Source organism: Homo sapiens, chromosome 1 (assembly GCF_000001405.40).
Source record: "Homo sapiens chromosome 1, GRCh38.p14 Primary Assembly".
Taxonomy (NCBI): Eukaryota; Metazoa; Chordata; class Mammalia; order Primates; family Hominidae; genus Homo; species Homo sapiens.
This window is the reverse complement of record NC_000001.11, coordinates 57,962,648-57,983,174: the sequence shown is the minus strand read 5'-3', so window position 1 is coordinate 57,983,174 and position 20,527 is coordinate 57,962,648. Positions and strand designations below refer to the sequence as shown.

The window sequence follows — 20,527 nt, the reverse complement described above, 5'->3', positions numbered from 1 at the left end:
GATTCAGAGAGATTGAGCATTTTGAAGACTTATCTCTGTCTGTGTTTTGCCTTCCTAAAGAGGAATGACCAATGATCTAATTGAGTAATGAGAATGGACACGAGGCTTCACCGTACACTGTAAGAGCAGGAATTGGACTCAAACAGATCTGGCTGCAACCCAGCTCCACAATTTAACAGCTCTATGACCTCAGGTCTCACATTCTCTCTGAGCCTTCGTTTTCTCTTTGGCAAAGTAGAACCGCAATACCTACCTCAAGCCCAGCATGAAGATTAAATGAGAAAATATTGGTGAAAGTGTTGAACTCAGTGCCAGGCTTACAAAGCTCAGAAGAAAGAAAGGTTAATTATCATCTTACGTATTTCCCCATCCTCTATGAAAGGATGAGGGGCCAGAATTGAAGCCATAAAACAGAAACTAAAATCAGTAACCAGTAGCAGAAGGCAATGAATGGAAGGAGAAAAATGAGGAATCATCCGACTTAGTTATGATAGAGAATTTTGCTTCCTTGAAGGCAGCTTTGATGAGGTGCATGCTTCTTCCTCATGTGTAGCAGGGTTTCTTAAAGATACTGAAACCACAATAAAAAGACTGACACTAACCACTGCTTGTTGGTCAGGCATTGGGCTTGCTAAGTAATACCCATAGATGAGCTCTCATCCTGACACCAGCTTGGCATTGCAGTTTATGAGGAAACAGACACAACGTCAGATACCTAAGAAGGAACAGAGGTGGGATTTGAATTTTCCAATTCTAAAGCCACCTGGGCTACGTCCACTAGTCCTATTATACTATTAATGTCAAATATATGCTAGACAAGTGCAGCCATTGCTTGTCATTTAGTGAATCACACAGTTGACTTCTCTGCTTCATGTGGGTGATTTACCTAAAATGGGTTCTGTTCTAAAGGACAATTTACCTTTGCATCCTCAATGCCTGGCACATGGTAGCTGCCCACCCAATGAATACTGAATAAGTAAATGGAAAAAGAGTTAAATCTAACTCAAATAGGCCACCAGGATAAAACCACTTCACCTGAGGAAAGGGCCAAACTATTTTCCCTACCTTATTACCTGAAAAATGCTCCCTGCTAGGTAAAACACAGTCCCATTTTCCAGGGCAACTCTGTAGACCAGTGTTTCTGTCACTGAGAGTCTGTTGCCAGTTGATCCAAAGGCAGTATGCAGTTAGCTGTTACATAGAAACTAGTGATGGCATGGGCTTTCAGAGTCACTTATTTTATTCCCAAACAGTTTGGAAATTTTAGAATAAAGCAGAAAAGCAAGTGGGTTAAGAGAAAGGAAACTCATATTTATTGAACAGTATCCTGTTCTAGGCACTAGCTTGGGCATCTGCAATAGAAATAACTTGTGCAATAATGGAGACAATGCTGCCTGTTCAATCCAAAAGGCTCATTTGCTCAGCACTGAATTTATGTCAGGGGACAACAGAGATGGAGGACAATTATGATGTGATTTTTGCCATGTCATTCAGGATATCCATGATACTATTTGGGCAAGGATAGTCACAAGCAGGCAAAAAATATATAAAGCCAGGATATTGAAAGATTACAACCCCCTATACACATGTGCATAGTCTTATCACTGAGGCATAACTATTGACATTAAGCACATCTTCTTTTGATATTTTTCTACAGTTTTTTATTCTATTGGATTACTGCTGTACATACAATTTAGGATCATGCCTTTTCACTGATCATTAATTTATTTTTCATATTATTAATTCAAACTCTGTTAACATAATGCTTAAGAACTGCACAGTAGTCTAGACAGTGGCTATCTCTCCTAATTATTCTCCTCCTCCTTCTTTTCCTCCTCTTTCTTCTTTTCTTCCTCTTCCTCCTCCTCCTTCTTCGCTTATATTTATTGAGAACATTTAATGTATTAGACTGTGAGTTATATCCTTTCCCTATAAAATCTCTTTCAATCCTCATGGTAAGCCTATGAAGTAGATTTTAGTATGCCTTTATAGAGATGAGTATACAGATGAGGCAAATAATGAACAGAAAGGTTAAATAATGTACCTAAGATAATATAAGTATTATAAAGTAGAGCTAGGTTTGTTCTCTCTGACTCTAGAATTGAAGTGTTTAAATACTTCTATTTATGTATTTTTAAGCATTTAGGCTAATTTTGAACTTTCCCTGTCATATTATCCTTGTATGTATGTATGTATCTATCTCTTTATATTCATATATATATATGTTTATCTATCTATATCTATGTGTGTGTGTGTGTGTGTATATATATATACATATATACATGTAGAGAGAGAGAGAGAGTTACTTTTTACTAGTTTATTAAAACAGATTTACAGAAAAGGAATGACTAAGTAAAAACTATGACTATTTTGCAGACTTTTAATACATACTGCCGAACTGCTTTCCAGAAATTCCCTCCACTTACATTTCTGCCAGCAACATATAAAACTGCCCCATTGCATCATATGCCATTTCATATCCATTTTATCAGGAATGGAAAGAGAAGCAAAGAAGCAGATGACTCTACAAGACTAACAGTTTCAGACACCTACAGTATCTGAGCATTCTGGAGTTCCTTGCTGTTATGGGTATAGGAGTGAAGAGGGTGGAGAAGCAACATGGGATAGGGGCAAGAAAGCATGAGTGGGTGCATTAGAATGAGAAGCTTCTAATTTGAAACCCATTTCTTCCATTTACTAATTGGTGGCTAAGAGATGTCATTCTCCCCATTTGTTAATTTATTTCATTGTTCCCAATTGTTGGGAGATGGGGAAGAGTGGAGATAAGGAAGTGCTTGGGAAAAGTGGGGGATATTTCACCTAGACCTTAGATATTGGGGTAGAATTTCAATTGATGAGAAGGTAATAAAAGAGCATTCCATGTAGAGATGACTCGAGTCAGAGCTTAGAGTCCATGGCTGATTCTGGGGACAATAGGGACAGTAATTACTGAGAGTGTGTGGTAGTGGTTGGAGTTGGGGTTGGCATGGCAAGCTTGCCATGAACTTTAAATAGCATTATGAACTTTAAATAGCATTCCAAGCAGTTTGAACTTGATTTATGGATGAAGGGATTCAATTAATGGTTGCTCTGAGGAGAGTGCCTTGATCTGATATGTATTGGTTAGATGATGACTCTGAGTAAATAGAAATCTAGAGACCAAGACTGGACAGAGAGGCACTGGTCAGGCAAGGTCAAAATAATCTACTCAAGATATGAACAAGTCCTTTCTTTTTGTTCATAAAATAGAGGAATTATAGAATAATAGAAGTGTGTAAATTTTAGGGGGAGCTCAGAAGAGGGTTTAAATAAATTCCACTGACATTAGGGATCTAAAGAAGGAATTAGGGGAATCAAAATGTATTGAGTGGGACACATAACCAACCTGCAGGAAGGCTAATTTTATCCCCATTTTACAGATGAGTAAAATGAGACTTAGGTGGGTTATCAATGTACTTAACATAATGTAGATAGCAAGTGATAATGCTGCAATTCAAAGCCAGACACCAAATCCCATTCCATTATATGCCTGTCAAGGCATGCTGGAGGAAGTGACTTCTCATCTGATTCTTTCTTATTTTATTTTATTTATGTATTATTCTATTTTTAAAATTATACTTTAAGTTCTGGGGTACATGTGCACAACGTGCAGGTTTGTTACGTAGGTATACACATGCCACGGTGGTTTGCTGGCACCCATCAACCTGTCTCCTACATTAGGTATTTCTCCCAATGTTATCCCTCCCCTAGCCCCCCATCCCCCATAGGCCCTGGTCTGTGATGTTCCCCTCCCTATGTCCATGTGTTCTCGTTGTTCAACTCTCACTTATGAGTGAGAACATGTGGTGTTTGGTTTTCTGTTCTTGTGATAGTTTGCTGAGAATGATGGTTTTTAGCTTCATCCATGTCCCCGCAAAGGGCATGAACTCATCCTTTCTTTATGGCTGCATAGTATTCCATGGTGTATATGTGCCACATTTTCTTTATCCAGTCTATTATTGATGGACATTTGGGTTAGTTCCAAGTCTTTGCTATTGTAAATAGTACTGCAATAAACATATGTGTGCATGTGTCTTTACAGTAGAATGATTTGTAATTCTTTGAGTATATACCCAGTAATGGGATTGCTGGGTCAAATGGTATTTCTAGTTCTAGATCCTTGAGGCATCACCACACTGTCTTCCACAATGGTTGAACTAATTTATACTCCCACCAGCAATGTACAAGCATCCCTATTTCTCCACATCCTGTCCAGCATCTGTTGTTTCCTGATGTTTTAATGATCGCCATTCTAGGCATGAGATTGTATCTCATTGTGGTTTTGATTTGCATTTCCATAATGACCAGTGATGATGAGCATTTTTCATATGTCTGCTGGCTGCATAAATGTCTTCTTTTGAGAAGTGTCTGTTCATATCCTTTGCCCATTTTTTGATGGGGTTGTTTGTTTTTTTCTTGTAAATTTGTTTAAGTTCTTTGTGGATTCTGGATATTAGCCCTTTGTCAGATGGATAGATTGCAAAATTTTTCTCCCATTTTGTAGGTTGCCTGTTGACTCTGATGATAGTTTCTTTTGCTTTGCAGAAGCCGTTTAGTTTAATTAGATCCCATTTGTCAATTTTGGCTTTTGTTGCCATTGCTTTTGGTGTTCTAGACATGAAGTCTTTTCCGGTGCCTGTGTCCTCAATGGTATTGCCCAGGTTTTCTTCTAGGATTTTTATGGTTCTGGGTCTTACGTTTGAGTCTTTGATCCATCTTGAGTTGATTTTTATATAAGGTGTAAGGAAGGGGTCCTGTTTCAGTTTTCTGCACATGACTAGCCAGTTTTCCCAGCACCATTTATTAAATAGGGCATCTTTTCCCCATTGCTTATTTGTTTCAGGTTTGTCAAAGATCAGATTGTTGTAGATGTGTGGTGTTATTTCTGAGGCCTCTGTTCTGTTCCACTGGTCTATATGTCTGTTTTGGTACCAGTACCATGCTGTTTTGGTTACTGTAGCCTTGTAGTGTAGTTTGAAGTCAGGTAGCATAATGCCTCCAGCTTTGTTCTTCCTGCCCAGGATTTTCTTGGCTATGCAGGCTCTTTTTCGGTTCCATATGAACTTTAAAGTAATTTTTTTGCAATTCTGTGAAGAAAATCAGTGGTAGCTTGTTGGGGATGGCATTGAATCTATAAATTACTTTGGGCAGTATGGCCATTTTCACGATATTCATTCTTCCTATCCATGAGTATGGAAGGTTTGTCCATTTGTTTGTGTCCTCTCTTATTTCGTTGAGCAGTGGTTTGTAGTTCTCTTTGAAGAGGTCCTTCATATTCCTTGTAAGTTGTTTTCCTAGGTATTTTATTCTCTTTGTAGCAATTGTGAATGGGAGTTCACTTATCTCATCTGGTTCTTAAAGAAGACACAGCCTTTCTCCAGGTGGATAATTATGGATGAAGGCAATTCTTGTGGTGGGTCCGGGGGATGTCGTCAGCAAAGGCATTGTATGGTGAGAACCTGTGGTCCCTTTGAGAATGTACAAATCTGTGTTCTGCTTTCAGAGATGTGTATATATTAGACTTATTACTCCATTGCTAACTGAGTGTTCACTATGTGCCAAATTCTATTCTTAGTGTTCAAATCTATTGATTAGTAAGTGGCAGAGTCGGCATTTTAACCTGGATGTCTTGTTGCAGAGCTCTTAACAACTTTGCAATGTGGCCTCTTATCTACAATGTTGCGGGTAGGACCCATTCTTTCCTGGCCCCAAATTGAAGGAAACAAATGAAGTCAGTCTATTATTTTCTTCCTCTAAAGAGGAGAGGAATGCTTTTAATGAAGACAGGGATTAATCAGGGTGATCTGGATATCTCTGTTTTTTAAAAAATAAGGGTGACAATAATGACAGCCATCCTTTCTGGAACTATGCTATTAGCTAATCATTGTGTGGAATTCTCTATAGATCTCTCTTGAACAAACACCAGTGGGCAGGAGTGGGTTTGTTGCCCCAGGAGAATACTGATTGGCTGAGGCATAGGATAGTAGAGTGGAAATGGAAGGAGAAACAAGCATTGTAACCTGTACAAAAGAATGTGGACCTTAGGATAGGGCAGTGGGGAGCCATGGAAGAGTTTGGAGCAAATGACTGATGAAATCATGTTGAAAGTTACAAACTCCATTTCTGGTGATTGGGAGAGGAAAGGGAAACTGATTTCATGAGTGTTAGGAGACCAGAGGCATCTTATTGTGGTAATCCAGATTACTTGGCAAGGATCTGGATTAAAACAGTGGCAGTGGTAATGGAGAGAAGGAAATGAACCCAAGAATAATGACAGACTCAACAAGACTTAATGTCAAATTGCATGTGATGAGTGAGGCAAAGAGAGGCATTAGGGATGGCACCCATTTTACATCTTCACAGATTACTTATTTCCTTGCTTGGCTGAAAAACTACCTCTCTACAGAGAAAGTATATCTAATGTTGGGGCCAGAAGCAATGCAGTTGCTTTCTTTTTCGGTGCAGAGAAAGCTAAAAGTGTCACATAGTGATATGCACCACTAATAAAAATCCAGATCCCTCCTCTCCTTCCCGCTTAAGGAGAAAAATTATTTTGCTCATAACTTTGATGAGCCTGATGAATGTTTGGATATCATCCCAAGCACGCAAACCAACCAGACGCTGGGGAAATTATTAATATTTCACTGGTGGACTTGGTTGAGCAAACACAATAAAAACAGGCTTGGTGTCATTGCATACTGGAAAAGCAGATGGCAGTCGAGCAAAGCTGCATACAGCAGTTTGAAATTTTAAATTAAATCAATTTGAAGCTTTGCTTGTGCCTCAGGCAATATTTCCCCTCAAATGAAGGAGACAGAGGAGGTGAACCTGTTATTACTGAGATGGTTTGGTGGTGGCTGCTGAGTGGTGCACTGCTTTCTATCATGTGAGGTAGCCTGAGAGCCGGAAGGGAGATGGGCTAGTTCTGACCCAACTTTCAGAGTGCAATCCAGGGAAATGAAAAACCAGAGAAGCCCCCAGTTCTTTAAAATTTCAACCTAGTCCACGAAGTCTGAAGCTCCTGGTCCCAAGGTTATACGGCTCTCCATCTTGGGGGGCTTGGTGCTCTAAGACTTGGCGTTGCCAAGAAGTGCCTTGCACCAACTTGCCCAGGTCAGGGATTCAGTGAACAGTGACCCAACTGGAGCAAAGAAGTCTCCGATGTTGACAGCACTATAGTTCTTGGAAGTATTGCTGGCTGCCCTTAGTAGGTAAGGATGAATTGGCAATTGTCTTTGAAGTCCTTAAGTTTGTCAAAAGCACATTTGTAGTGTTACGGACTGGACAGCTTGGTTTTTATTCAGTCAGTCCCTTTACTTCTTTTCTGTGGAAGCCAGCAAAGTGAATTCATCTAGACCAGTGGTTTTCAACCCTGCTGTGCATCATAATCATCTAGAAAGTTTTATAATACATTTCATCGGATCCCACCCTTAGAGATTCTGGTGTCATGAGTCTGGGCCTTTGTTCTCAGCTGTATTTAGCATAGTACCTGAGACATGATAAGTAGTCAAACTTCTGTTTAATAAACAAGTAAATTAAATAATTTGCATATCCCTATACAAACCATATACCCTAGCTGCTATATCTTGCACATTCTTTTCCCTTGCATCAAGTACCATTCCCTTTTTATTACTCCTCCTAGCCTAAATAACTTCTATCCTTCAGGACACAAGTCATGTTTTGCCTGCTTCAATTGGAATATGAATTTGTCAGTCTAACAGTCTTTTGCTTTCCTATCTGTATGCCCACAGGGTTCAGTATTGCCCTCTTTAAACACTCAACACCTTGGATTGCAGTGGTCTGCTTCAGTGATTGTCTTAGTGAGTTCAGGCTACTGTAATATATTATCACAGATGGGTGAGTTAAACAACAGACATTTGTTTCTCATGGTTCTGGAGGCTGGGAAGTCCAGATCAAGGTGCTGGCACATCTAGTGTCTGGTGAGGACTCACTTTCTGGTTTTGCTGTTGGTTGTCCTCTCATTATGTCTTTGTGTCTTTTAAAGGTAAAGGCACTAATCCTATTCATGAGGGCTCCAACTTCACAACTTAATCTCCCGAAGGTCCCACCTCTTAATGCCATCATATTGGGGGTTAAGATTTCGACACATGAATTTGAGGGGAATACAAACATTCAGTCCATAGCAGTTATTGTAGGCTGTGAGTTTTTTTAAAGCTGGGACTAGGCCTTTGTATCTCCAAGCTATACACCAGTTGCAGTACCTGGCATAAAGTAGACACTCAGGAAATGGCAGTTTTGCTATAATAGGAATTACTATATATATGGATTACTATATATCTATATATTATGGATAATAATCATGTATGGAGTATTTTTGTATGTGGTATACATAACAAATGTGTAAAAACAGTGGACACATAAATGTATAGATGATATCTGGTATGGAAGATATATGTGCAAGACATATGCATGTGGGCCATGGGTATGTATGTAAGGCATATGCACATTGATTAGGTGTTTAAGTCAGTGGCTTTCAATTCTGGCTACCTGTCAAATCACCTAGGGATCTTTTTCAATATATAAATTGTGGAGTCTTGCTGCCTAAAATTTCCAATTCAGGATGTCTAAGACGGCACCTAGGAATTGGTATTATATATCTATCTATCTATATATCTATATATATATAACATTCTAAACCAAAGTTGAGAGCCATTCATTAAATTGGTAAGTATTTGTGTCCATCATATGCTGGTGCTGTTGTAGACTCCAGAGATACACCAGTGAACAAGACATAGTCACTGCTTTCATGGCACTTTTATTTGAGTGAGGGGAGGTAGATGAGACACAATTCAATAAATGCCCAAAGACTTAAAAATGGCACTCATTGTTAAACAAAGAAAATAAAATGGGGTAATGAAATGGAGAGCTATTGGGGTGAAGTTGGGGATGGGCAGGGAAGCTCTCTCTGAGGAGATGACATCTGAGCTGAAATCTAAATGAGGAGACAGTCAAATGAAAATCTGGGGATGAGGTTGTGAGGACAGCAAACATAATTGCCCTGAGACAGAAATGAGCTTGGCGTGTTTCATGAGCAGAAAGAAGGCTAGTGTGCCTGGATCAAGGACAAGGAGGCAGGGGTGGGGTGAAATAAAGTCAGAGAGGGGGAAGAAGGTCAGGTCATACTGGGTGTTTTATGAAATGGTAAGGAGTTTGGATTTATTTGGAAAAATTGAGTAGCCATTTTGGGAGGGTCTATGGTAAGAGAGTGAAATGATCCCATTAAGGATTTTGAAAGACTATGCTGGGTATTATCTGGAGAAGTCACTATAGGGAGGCAAGAATGGTGATGGTGACAGAGACTGCTTGGAGGCTAATATAAAAGTCTGGGAAAGAAATGATGGCGACTTGGAGAAGAACGCTAGTAGTGAATGTGGAAAGAAGTGAATAGATTGGGGATGTTTTGAAGGTAGACCCAGAAGAACTTGTTAAAGGACTCTTTATTCAGGTTTCAAGGGGAAACAAGAGTAACACCCTAGTTTTTGAGTCACAGGGTAGATGGTGATGCCAGGTTTTAGGATGTGTATAAGAAGTATCATTTTCAGGGAGATGTATCTGTTGTGTTTAAGGGCTTTGTGTACTTAAAATTGATGTACATTTGACATGTCTATGTAATGTACATGTATAGAGTATGTGTTTAGAAGATGTATATTTATTGTATTAGCTTCCTGCAGCATCTGTAACAAATTGCCACAAATCTGGTGGTTTAAAACAACAGAAATTTATTATCTCATTGTTCTGGAGGCTAGAAGTATCAAATCAATTTCACTGGGCCTAAATCAAGGTGTTGGCAGGCCTGCATTGCCTCTGAACGCTCTAGGGGAGAATGCAGTCCTTGCCTCTTTGAGCTTCTGGTGGCTGCAGGCATTCCTTAGCTTGTGGCCACATCATTTCAATCTTCAAGGCCAATGTCTTAAAATCTCTTTCTGCCCTGTCTTCACATCACCTCCTCTTTGTGTAAATATCTATGTGTCAAATTTCCCTATTACTCTCTCTGATTAGGATACCTGTTTTTACATTTAGGGTCTGCATGGATAACTCATACTAGTCCCCCCATCTCAGAATCCTTTACTTAATCACATCTATAAAGACAGATTTTTTCTAAATAAGGCAACATAAATAGGCTCCAGCGATCAGGACTTGTGCATATTGGAGTGTATACTGTTTAAAGAAATATACAGAATATAGCTTAGTTTGTGTATGTGCATGAAGAAATATGCAGAATCTAGCTTAGTTTGTGTGTGTGTACATGCTCAGGAACATGTGTACATATGGCTGACTAAGGCTATAGGTGAATGTGAGGGCCTGTGTGGCCCACACAAAGAACACCTTTCCTATGTCCTTATATCAAGAGATGCTCCCAGTGACTTGGCTGCTCAGAAAGTGTTCATAAACATAGCTCTTTCTTGTTTTTCTCTCCAAATCCAGTTGGTGTCAGATCCTGAGGCCATCTCAAGAGAAGACCTTCTGTTGGCTGATATAACTAGTTATACTTACTTATACCCTTTGAAAGTATTTCAGAGTTGTTTCCCAACATCTAAGCTTATGAAGTCCCCTTTTAGGTGAAAAAATTGGCCAGGTGTGTGGCGACTCATGGGAATAATCCCAGCACTTGGGGAGGCTGAGGTGGGAGGGCCACTTGAGGCCAGGAGTTCGAGACCAGCCTGGGCAACATAGCAAGACTCTGTCTCTACAAAAAATAAAATTAAAAACATTAACCAGGTATGGTGGCTCATGCCTGTAGTCCTAGTTACTGGGGAGCCTGAGGCAGAAGGATCCCTTGAGCCAAGGAATTCAACGCTGCAGTGAGCTATGATTGTACAACTACACTTCAGCCTGGACATCAGAGTGAAACCCTGTCTCTAAAAAATAAAAATATTAAAATAAAATAAATTTTAATGATGTTTATTCTCCCAACTACCATGAGACTAAGTTTTATGTGGTTAGTGCCTATTGATTGAGAATGACACATTAACAAAAAGTTAAAATGAATCAACTTATGCTTTTGAATAAATATGTACTTTATTAATCACAATGGTATCTACTTATAGTTTTAAAATACTATCATCTGGATGTACATAGCATTGCTTTTTCAGGCGATAGGAAATGTTTTGTGTGCATATGGATTTATGACAATTTGAAATAAGTCTAAAACCCCTTGGGGGATCTGTAGCCCACAATTTGGGAGATATTGTAGTGGAAATGGGGTTCACAAACTGATGCCTCATAAACCAAATTTGACTAGCAGGTATATCTGGTTTGGCTAACTGATTATTATTGGTACATAATGAAAGATATTGCCATTGGTGGGACCTGCCCTCTTCTGTGGATTTCAGACCCACCATTCACAATTTTACTAAACTTTATTGCTACACTTCTTTACAAATATCTTGAAGACATTTGATTTGTGATCCCGGATACAAAATAACTATATGCCTTTGACAGAATTCAGCTATGTATAATTTGTAAAATACTTTGATATTTCTGACCTCATTTCATTTTCCCCAAAACTCCTGTGATAGAGATGGGATAATATCATTCCTGTCTTACAGATGAGTTAACTGAGACTCAAAGAGTTTAACAACTGGCCTGATGTTGCCAAGCTGGCAAGTGGAATTGCTGAGGCTGGAATCTAGGCCTTCTGGCCCTTTCCCTCACACTACACCATGTACCTTATAATTTTTCAGAACTCTAGACCTAGCTAGTTGTTACTGTCAAAGGATAGTCATGAAAATCAGGTCTGATGAAATAGGAATAAGCAGCTGACCTTCAGCAAAGGCAAGGTAGGAAGTCTGCCCATTTCAGCTCAAGACACTCATAAGTAGAGACAGGCAGTGTGCAGGAAAGCAAATAAGGGAGTTTGTGAACAATAGACAAATTTTGTCCAAGTCAAGGGAAACTCAGCAATTGTTGAAGGCAGACAGCAAAGAGTAGAAAAAACACTTCTCATGAAGCCAAAAGATCCAAGTCTTGCCTTGCTTATGCCTAGACAAACTGACCTCTCAGAATGCCTCCTTGGTTTTGTTTCTCATCTGTAAATGGGGCTGATGATGTAACACCCACCTCCCTGATTCACTGTCATGAGGATCAAACTGATTCAAAGAAGCAAAAATGTCCTGAAACCACTACAATAAATGGTAGCTCTGTGGTCTGTAGTAAAGTCCAGGGGGCTTTCAGATAACATTTGTTTTTCCTATGGGGAATTAATTTTCAATCTACATAGTCAATGAAGTTTTTTTTTGTCTCTCATAGGAAATTGTGGGTTTCTTGGAAGGCTCTGGATATCTGTGACAGACCTCAGGGACACAGATAATTTGAAAATTGCATGGTGAGTTTCCATAAAGGTCATTGCACCAGAAATCTAAGATATCAAAGTTCCTATGGATTAAGAGCTTTGTTTACTACAACCAGTTTAGATCTTAGAGGTTGAATTTGAAAGGGAGTGACTGTGAGCTTTGGATTCAAAGGGAAAGTATTTCTTATTCATGTTGATTAAGCACCAGCTTTCTATAGTATCTTCTGGGTAATCTGCTGATTTTAGCTGAAATTATCTCCAAAAGTGGCGGGTCCCCATCAATGGCAGTTTTCCTCAAGCGCCGTAGATATCCTTTTCTCATGTTTTAAATTAAAGATTTGATTGTGGCTTCAGAATATCCCAGCAAGGAGCCCTGGGAAAATTGGCATTTTCTCCATGTTGCTATTCCCACTGCAGCGATTCAGGGTGACCCCCACTGGCAAAGCTGACCCTTTGAAGGAGGAAAATGTTGGTGGCTGTAGTATTCTCTACCATGTGTTTTTTGGCTGCTCCTGAAGCCAAGCTCTCTCACCTCTAGGTGAGATCCATTTTTCTTTGCCCTTTTAGGATTTATTGACTATAGTCTTTGTGTTGGTCCATTCAGGTTGCTGTAACAAACTACCATAGACACGATGGCTTATGGACAATAAGCTATTATTTCTCATAGTTATGGAGGCTGGAAGTCCAAGATCAAGGCACCATCTGATTTGATGTCTGGTGAGAACTCTTTCTATTTCATAGACGGTGCCTTCTCTCTGTGTCCTCACATGGTAGAAGAGGTGAGAGAGCTTTCTGGAGTCTCTTTCATCTCATTAGATTCCCATTAAGGGCGTGAATTCCATTTATAAAGGCTTTACCTCTAAGACCTAATCACTTACTAAAGGCCCCACCTCTTAATACCATTACATTGTGGATTAGGATGTCAATAATGAATGTTGGAGAGACACAAATATTCAGCCTGTAGCAATATCTAAAGCACAAAACTGATCTAAAGTAGAAGAGTGTAAATCCCCATTTAACTAGAACCTAACAAGCAGAAAGTTAATAACTAGGTAGAATCCTGGTCTCAAAAGTACTATATGATGATTGTTGATTTGATTGCAAGAATCAAATGAAACAGCATAGTTTCAAGTACCTTACAATCTTATATGTAAAGAAGCAGTTTTTAACTTAGCTTACACTGAGGACTCCTTTTTAACATCAATAAGTTTTGTGATGCATGAGGATACTTATACTTTGATATCTGTTGGATATGAGAACTAAAAGCTGTAATGAATAGTATAGTGTCATTTTTAAATGAACTTGGATGTTATGTAAATACAAACATTACATCAAAACATACATATATTCTACTCGGGAGGCTGAGGCACGAGAATTGCTTAAACCTGGGAGGTGGAGGTTGCGGTGAGCCAAGATGGCTCCACTGCACTCCAGCCTGGGTGACAGAGTGAGATCCTATCTCAAAAAATATATATATAAATAAAAGTAAATTTTAAAAACATACATATATTAACATTTGTGAAGCTCTAAAAGTACATTTGAAAAGTGTAAAGTGATATATTGGTAAGACTTTTTTTTAGTTTACAGACAATATTTGATGGCATTCATATTCTTGAACTCTTTGTAAAAATTTCATGGTTCTTACAGGATTTGTTACCCACTGGATGAGAAATTCGGAATAAATTCTTAAATTAGTTTTGCTAATTATGTGAAAATATCTATATACATATAATGCTTATGGTGATCACGTAACCAGACTATTTAATTTTCTCTTAAATTATTCCAGATAAACAAGAATGATACTGAAAGGTTTAAGAACTTATACATATTAGTGCATTGCCTCTGATTAACTAAAAATTGAACAGTATACAAATTATGCAACTTTATGAAGTTGAAAGGGATTTTAAAGATGAGAAGTCTTACGATGCAGGGAAAGAATTCAGAAAGAACTAGAGTTATAGCTGGGTAGGTTCTACAGTTTTCAAGCTGTGAGCCATTGAATAAATTCAGCTTTGTAAGCCTCAGTTTTCTGCTTTGAAACTTGGACATAAAACACATACCTCACAGTATCGTTGTGAGGCTCTGCATGTAATAGGTATTTGGCAAATAGTAGCTATGTTCTAACCCATCTCTCATTTTTTTAGATGAGAAACTTAAGGGTCAGAAAGATTGAGACTTAAAGAACACGCACAAAAAATGGTCTGTAGCATTTCGAAGATCTACTGACTCATGCATCTGTGTTCTACCGCAATTCTTAAATTTATACTTTCTGCTTCCTATCCTCGAAACATGCATGCCAATTTTCCAGGCTGGAATTGGCAGTGAGCTGACAGACAGAGGTTTGTTTTTTAAAAAGATGAGAGAACAACTTGCAGAATCTTTTATCCAAATTCTCAGAATGTTTTTTAGTAAATGCTTCTTATCCTAAGAACTCAAATGGTGGCTTTCTGCTCTTCCTGCCTTCTCTGATTCTGTTGCCACTTAGCCCTGCGGTTCACAGCTAATTAAAAAGGGATGGAAGAAAATTATACCTCTGTTGATGCTATTGTTTTAATCTATCTCAAAAGCTTCTTAACAGCAAAGCAACAAGCAGTGGATGAGAGGGAGTTCTCTGTGACAAACAGGACACAGGAGACCCTAGAGTCATTTCCATGAACCCACTATCATTTCATTAAGTGACTTTTACACTTTCTGTTGTTAAAGATTCACACACACACACATCCACACACTCTTTCAGACAATATTTCGGCATCTGCTGAGTCCTAGGAAAGAAGGGAGCTGCAGATAAGAATAAAATATCATTTATATTGTGTATTTATTACATGTTCGGCGCTATGTTTTCCTTTTCATTCCCTCAGTTAATAATCACAAGGATGTGTTCCTGTTTTATATACGAAAATGCAAAAATTTTGAGAAGTTAAGATCCCACAGCTAAGTGTCAGAGCTGAAATCCAAAATTACATCTTTATCATCAGTCCTTATAATAATCATTCACCACCTTCATCAAAATGCCTGTCATTTATTGAACACTTACTATGAGTTGAGCCCTCTTCTAACTACTTTGAATATGTTAATTTATTTAAGTACAATTTATGTTTTTAACTAGTTTCGTCCTCACAACCCCCCTGTAAAGTAGCTACAATTATTATCTCCAAAATGTCCCAAGGTGCTGCAGCTGGTAACCCAGTTAGATTCTAGAGCTGCACGCTTAACCACACTGCTCTGTCTGAATCAACACCAGATATCTTCCAACTCTACACCTTGTCCCTCTAGGGCTTTGGGTGCTAGTAAGCCTTTCAAGAGCTTCGTAGGAACAAGGGTAGCACATCTTATTGAGCCATAATAAGGACACAGAGTATGGATCCAATTCAGGTATACCTAGGTTAAGGTACTCCTGTGTATTATGATGATGTTCATCACAGCCTTGATAGTGGGTAGCAAGTACAGTTCAGGATCAAACAGGTGAGCATTACGGGTCATCTGGCTTCCTTGTTGTTTAACAAAGCAACACCTATTTTAACATGGCATAACAGTGTAACCAAGTAACTACCCATAAGGAAAGGCTTTAAGGTGCTCTCCACCTAGGGACAGTGCTAATTAATGAGAAATAGGCAAGACAGTCTGGCCAGCACCTTGGACAGCCCCACTGTAGCTGTGGCTCCCATGGAAAGGTGACCTACAATCTGCATCTCTGCACTATGCAACAGGCCTTGCCCTGAAGCTGAAACTTTAAAAGCTCTTGACATTCTTGTGTGTGTGTGTATGCATGTATGTGCACACGTGCACCTTCATTCATTTAAAAAATTTATTTTATTGCAGTAAGGACACCTGAGATCTACCCTCTTAAATTTTAAGTGTAAACTAAAAACCAGTAGTGTAAACTACAGGTACCATGTTCAACAGGTCTATGCAAAGATACTTAACATCACTAATCAATATGAAAACGCAAATCATGACCACAAGATGAATAAGCTCTTAACATTCTTTCCCTAGACTTAAAACAGTGGTTCTTAACCTTCTTGGTATATGTACTCTTCTAAACAGTGAATGAAAGTGAAACACAGATGCCCAGAAAAACTGGAAATGTGTACATACACGAAAAACTTAACCTAAATTTTAGATTATCAAAAAAAATCTCCTTGGCATTCGAGTTAAGGCCTCTGTTCAGTTAAATATTGCTAGGTAACGAATTACCCCAAAACATAACTAAAATAACAATGTGTTATTTCTCATGATTCTGTGGGTTAGCTGGGAGGTCCCTCTGCTGGTTTCCCCTGGGCTTATTCATGCAGCTACATTCTGCTAGCAGGTGAGCTGAGGTGAAAAGTCCAACGATAGTTTCACTCACATGTCTAGTGGTGGGTGCTGGATGTTGGCTGGGTGCCTCAGTTCTTCCCCAGGTGGCATATTCTCCTCCAGCAGGTTGCGCCAGCTTCTTTACATAATGATGAGGGGGCAACATTCCTCCTTTTAGGTCCTAGTCTCCAGAGCCCACAAAAAGTCAGCTTGATATTCCAATGGCCAAAACAAGTGCAAGTCTAGCCCAGATTCCAGGGGTCAGCTCTTCCTGAAAGAAGCTGCCAAGAATTTTTAACCATATTTAATTTATCGCAACCTCCTTAAGCTATCTGATCAAGACAGACCGATATTAAAAGTAGTACAGTTCTTTCCTTGCTCTTCAATATGATTCTGCCCTAACCCATTACTTTATATAACACTGCTGCATTTTGTATGCACTGCTATTATAATACTAATCCATTTGTGCATTGAATAAACAATTATTGAAGATCATTTGTGAGCTAGGCAAGATGCTAACTCTTTCTTAAAATTTACATTAGCTCATCAAGTTAGTATAAGAATTTATCAGATTTCCTCTCCCCCCCCGCCATTTAAAGATGATGACACTGAATCTCAGAAAGATAGAGAAATTTGCCACAATGCACATAACAAGTACATGGAAGTCTTCCACTTTAATGGTCTATTTCTTATTTGCATTTAGTCTGCTGCACAGCTGCTCTCCATTTACCTGTCTACCTCCCCTAAAGATTGTGAGCTCCCTGAGGACATGACTCTGCATTTCTCCTTTGTGCATTATCAGTCAATACAACATTTCTGAAAATGGCTTGTAGGCTGTCAGTAAATTGTTGTTGGATGGAGAGATGAAGGGGCTTCCAAACTGTGGATGCTATATTCCTTCCTCTACAAGTATTTCTAGTTTATGTATTCTGAGCTCATGTGGTTGAGAACAATACAATTGGAAATCATAATCAATAACCTTTATCAAAAGCTTATTGCATACCAAAAATTCTTAAGAATTTTTGCATATTTATTTAATGTATCCTCACCACCTATGACACAGATCCTATCAACTCGATTTTGTTACGAAGAGGCCAGAGGTTAGAGAATAGAATTAGATCACCCAAAGTGATACCCCTATGAGGTGGCAAAGCACAACTTGAACTCAGGACTGTTTGACTCCTGATGCCATATTCTTGGTAATTGGATTATTCAATTCACCCAATCCTATTGCCTTTCTGAAGAAAAGTTTATTAGTTCATGTGAAGAGAAACAACTATGAGATAAATCTCTCCAGTCCCTACCAAATAAAATAGAAAGAAAGCTGACACTCTCTACGATCTGACTTTGTCTTTCTAGCCTGTTTCCTACTCTGTCTCTCTATAGATTCTGTATTCCTACCAGCTACTCACGCTGTCTATTGTGTGGCCTTCAATACCCTACCATATCTCTTTGCCATCCATTCTTCACACATGAATGTTCCATCCATTCTTCATACATTGGAATTCTCAGTCTTTATAACTAGCCTTAGTGAGTCTTCTTGGGTGAAACACTTTTTTTAGTTCCTGCAGTTGCCAGGAACTGTCTATTTCTCAATATTCCCCCAGCAAATAATGTCTACCTTTATTTGCCTTATTCCATCCCAGTTCACTGTTTACATGCCTATCTTCCCCTAGACAGTGAACAACTTCCTGCCTCCCTCTTTCCTTCCTTCTTCTCTTGTTTTCAATAGATTTTATATTTCTGCTGTGTCCCAGGCTCTATGTTATAGCCTAGGACTATAGAAATAACTAAGACGTAAATTCTGCCATCGGATAACTTACAGTGTTCAGTACAGGAAAGCCATTGAATAAGCATTGAATGAATAAATGAATGAGCTTGCAGTCTAGTGGGGAAGGCAGGGGTGTAAACAATTGTAATGTCAAATCTATGCTGGAAACATGAGTAGTGCCTCACATTATAGACACTCGGTAAATACTCATCCATTTATTTACTCTCTGTACTGAAATAGGCCTAGGTTCAAATCTTGATCTTACGTACTTGGTAATTTTGAGCAAGTCACTTTAGCTTTCTGATGCTCAGTTATCAAAGCTGTGAAGCAATCAATAGTTACTGACCTCATAAGGTTCTGTGAAAATTAAATATGTAGCAAGTGTCTACAGTAAGAGCTCAATGTATTTCAGTATTCTACATTCCCCACTTAACTTAATTCCAGAAAGAATATACAGCAATACATTGTTGGATGAATTAATGAGTGAATAAATTAATGAATAAGTGAATGCATGAGGCAAGGTTTGAGTGGAGTAAAACTGCAGGGCATGATGATACAGACAGACCCTGCGGGGCAAGAGAGCATCAACTCTCTCTAGGGGGATCAGAGCCACTAAAGCCCTGGAAATCACCCAGTTCTGTTACCCCTAGCCCCTCCCCAGAGGCCATGTCCTTGCTCCTCCCCTTCACAGGGGGCCCAAACAGCTTGTTTTTCTCCTCTTTGTGTGTTGGGGATATGTGATTTTACTGTCAGCATGGTGTTTCTAATGAAAGGCAAATGGTGTCCAATGTGACTTGGAGAAAAACATACAAACAACAACAAAATTATATGTTCTTTCTTCCTGTAGTGTTCGCAGGGAGAATATGTGACTTGTTTGCTGTCAATACAGCTTATAATGACACGGTGCACAGAAGCACTGCCAAATGTGTGCGGCATTCATTATACACATGTATTAAATGTAATGCGATATGAGTTTGGTGGAGAGCAGATGAGAGCTGCCCTGGGGCTGATGTAGAGTTACAGCACCTCTTCCCAGGGGATGATTACTGGGGAAAGGGGAAGTGGGCAGCAGCATGGGCGTGACGCAGGGTGTCTAGAATTTTCAGGACTGATTCTGGGCTAGATTGAGAGAAATGATCAGCTCAAAGGGTCCTTAAACTTTATTTCAACAACAAGAAATCATTTAATGATCAATTCTTGTGCTCCTACTAAGTGCCGGGCTTGTAATAGGTTCTGGGAATAAGATTCTTCACCAGCTTTCAGGACGTTCACAGATTAGCAAGAGAGACAAACAGATGGAGAGAGAATAACGGTGCACCGTGATTGGTAAATGCAATGATCTAGAAGCAGAGGTTCATGTGAAACTACAGATAAGATACCTAACCCAGCCTAATGTCACTTTTTCCAAGGTGCCTTCCCTAACTCTTCATATGTGACCAGGTCACTCTGTAATATGCTAATATGCTTGCATGGCACCCTGAGCCTTTTCTTCATGGCATTAGTCATGGTCTAAAGTGAGTTATGTGTATGATAATTTCATCAATATCTGTTTGGCTTCTAGACTCTAAGCCCAGGAAAATAGGGACCTCATTTGTTTTGCTTACCATTATATATCCAGCACCTAGCACAGTATCTGATATTTTAATTTGTGGTTGAATGAATGAATGAATACTGTCATATGTGAGCTTAATTTTGAAGGACATGGAAGAAGTAACCCAGGTAAAATGGGCAAGAGGAAAGGTGGGCAAAAGGAGGGGGAATGAAGCATGTTATATTATAAAGGCATGTAAGAAAATATAGCATAAAATTGGGGGAAAAATAAGTAAAAAATTTTAAAAGTGGCTCTTGAGGTTTTTATTTTTTTTTGTTTTGTTTTTTTTTTGAGACAGGATCTCACTCTGTTGCCAGGCTGGAATGCAGTGGTACATAATTGCAGCTCACTGCAGCCTTAACCTTTCAGGCTCAAGTCATCCTCCCACCTCAGCCTCCCAAGTAGCAGGAACTACAGGAACTACAGGCACATGCCACCATGTGTGGCTAAATTAAAAAAAAAAATTGTAGAGATTATGTTATCCAGGCCGGTCTTGAACTCCTTGCCTCAAGTGATT

The 20,527-nt window shown here is 39.1% G+C and overlaps 1 protein-coding gene and 1 long non-coding RNA gene across 5 annotated transcripts in view; one reads left to right on the top strand and one right to left on the bottom strand.

Moving 5' to 3' along the window:
• DAB1 (DAB adaptor protein 1) overlaps positions 1-20,527 on the top strand; it is a 1,551,949-nt gene that overhangs the window by 563,552 nt on the left and 967,870 nt on the right. For 2 of the 4 annotated variants that reach the window (NM_001379462.1, NM_001353980.2), the window contains exon 2: positions 12,310-12,385. The exons of the other annotated variants lie outside the window; for them this stretch is intronic. The gene's annotated coding sequence lies outside the window, so the exon portion shown is untranslated. The remainder of the gene's footprint in view (positions 1-12,309; positions 12,386-20,527) is intronic. 4 annotated transcript variants of the gene reach the window in all.
• LOC105378746 (uncharacterized) overlaps positions 1-20,527 on the bottom strand; it is a 33,633-nt gene that overhangs the window by 7,082 nt on the left and 6,024 nt on the right. The window contains exon 3 of the long non-coding RNA XR_007066127.1: positions 16,701-16,929. This is a non-coding gene — a long non-coding RNA (uncharacterized LOC105378746). The remainder of the gene's footprint in view (positions 1-16,700; positions 16,930-20,527) is intronic.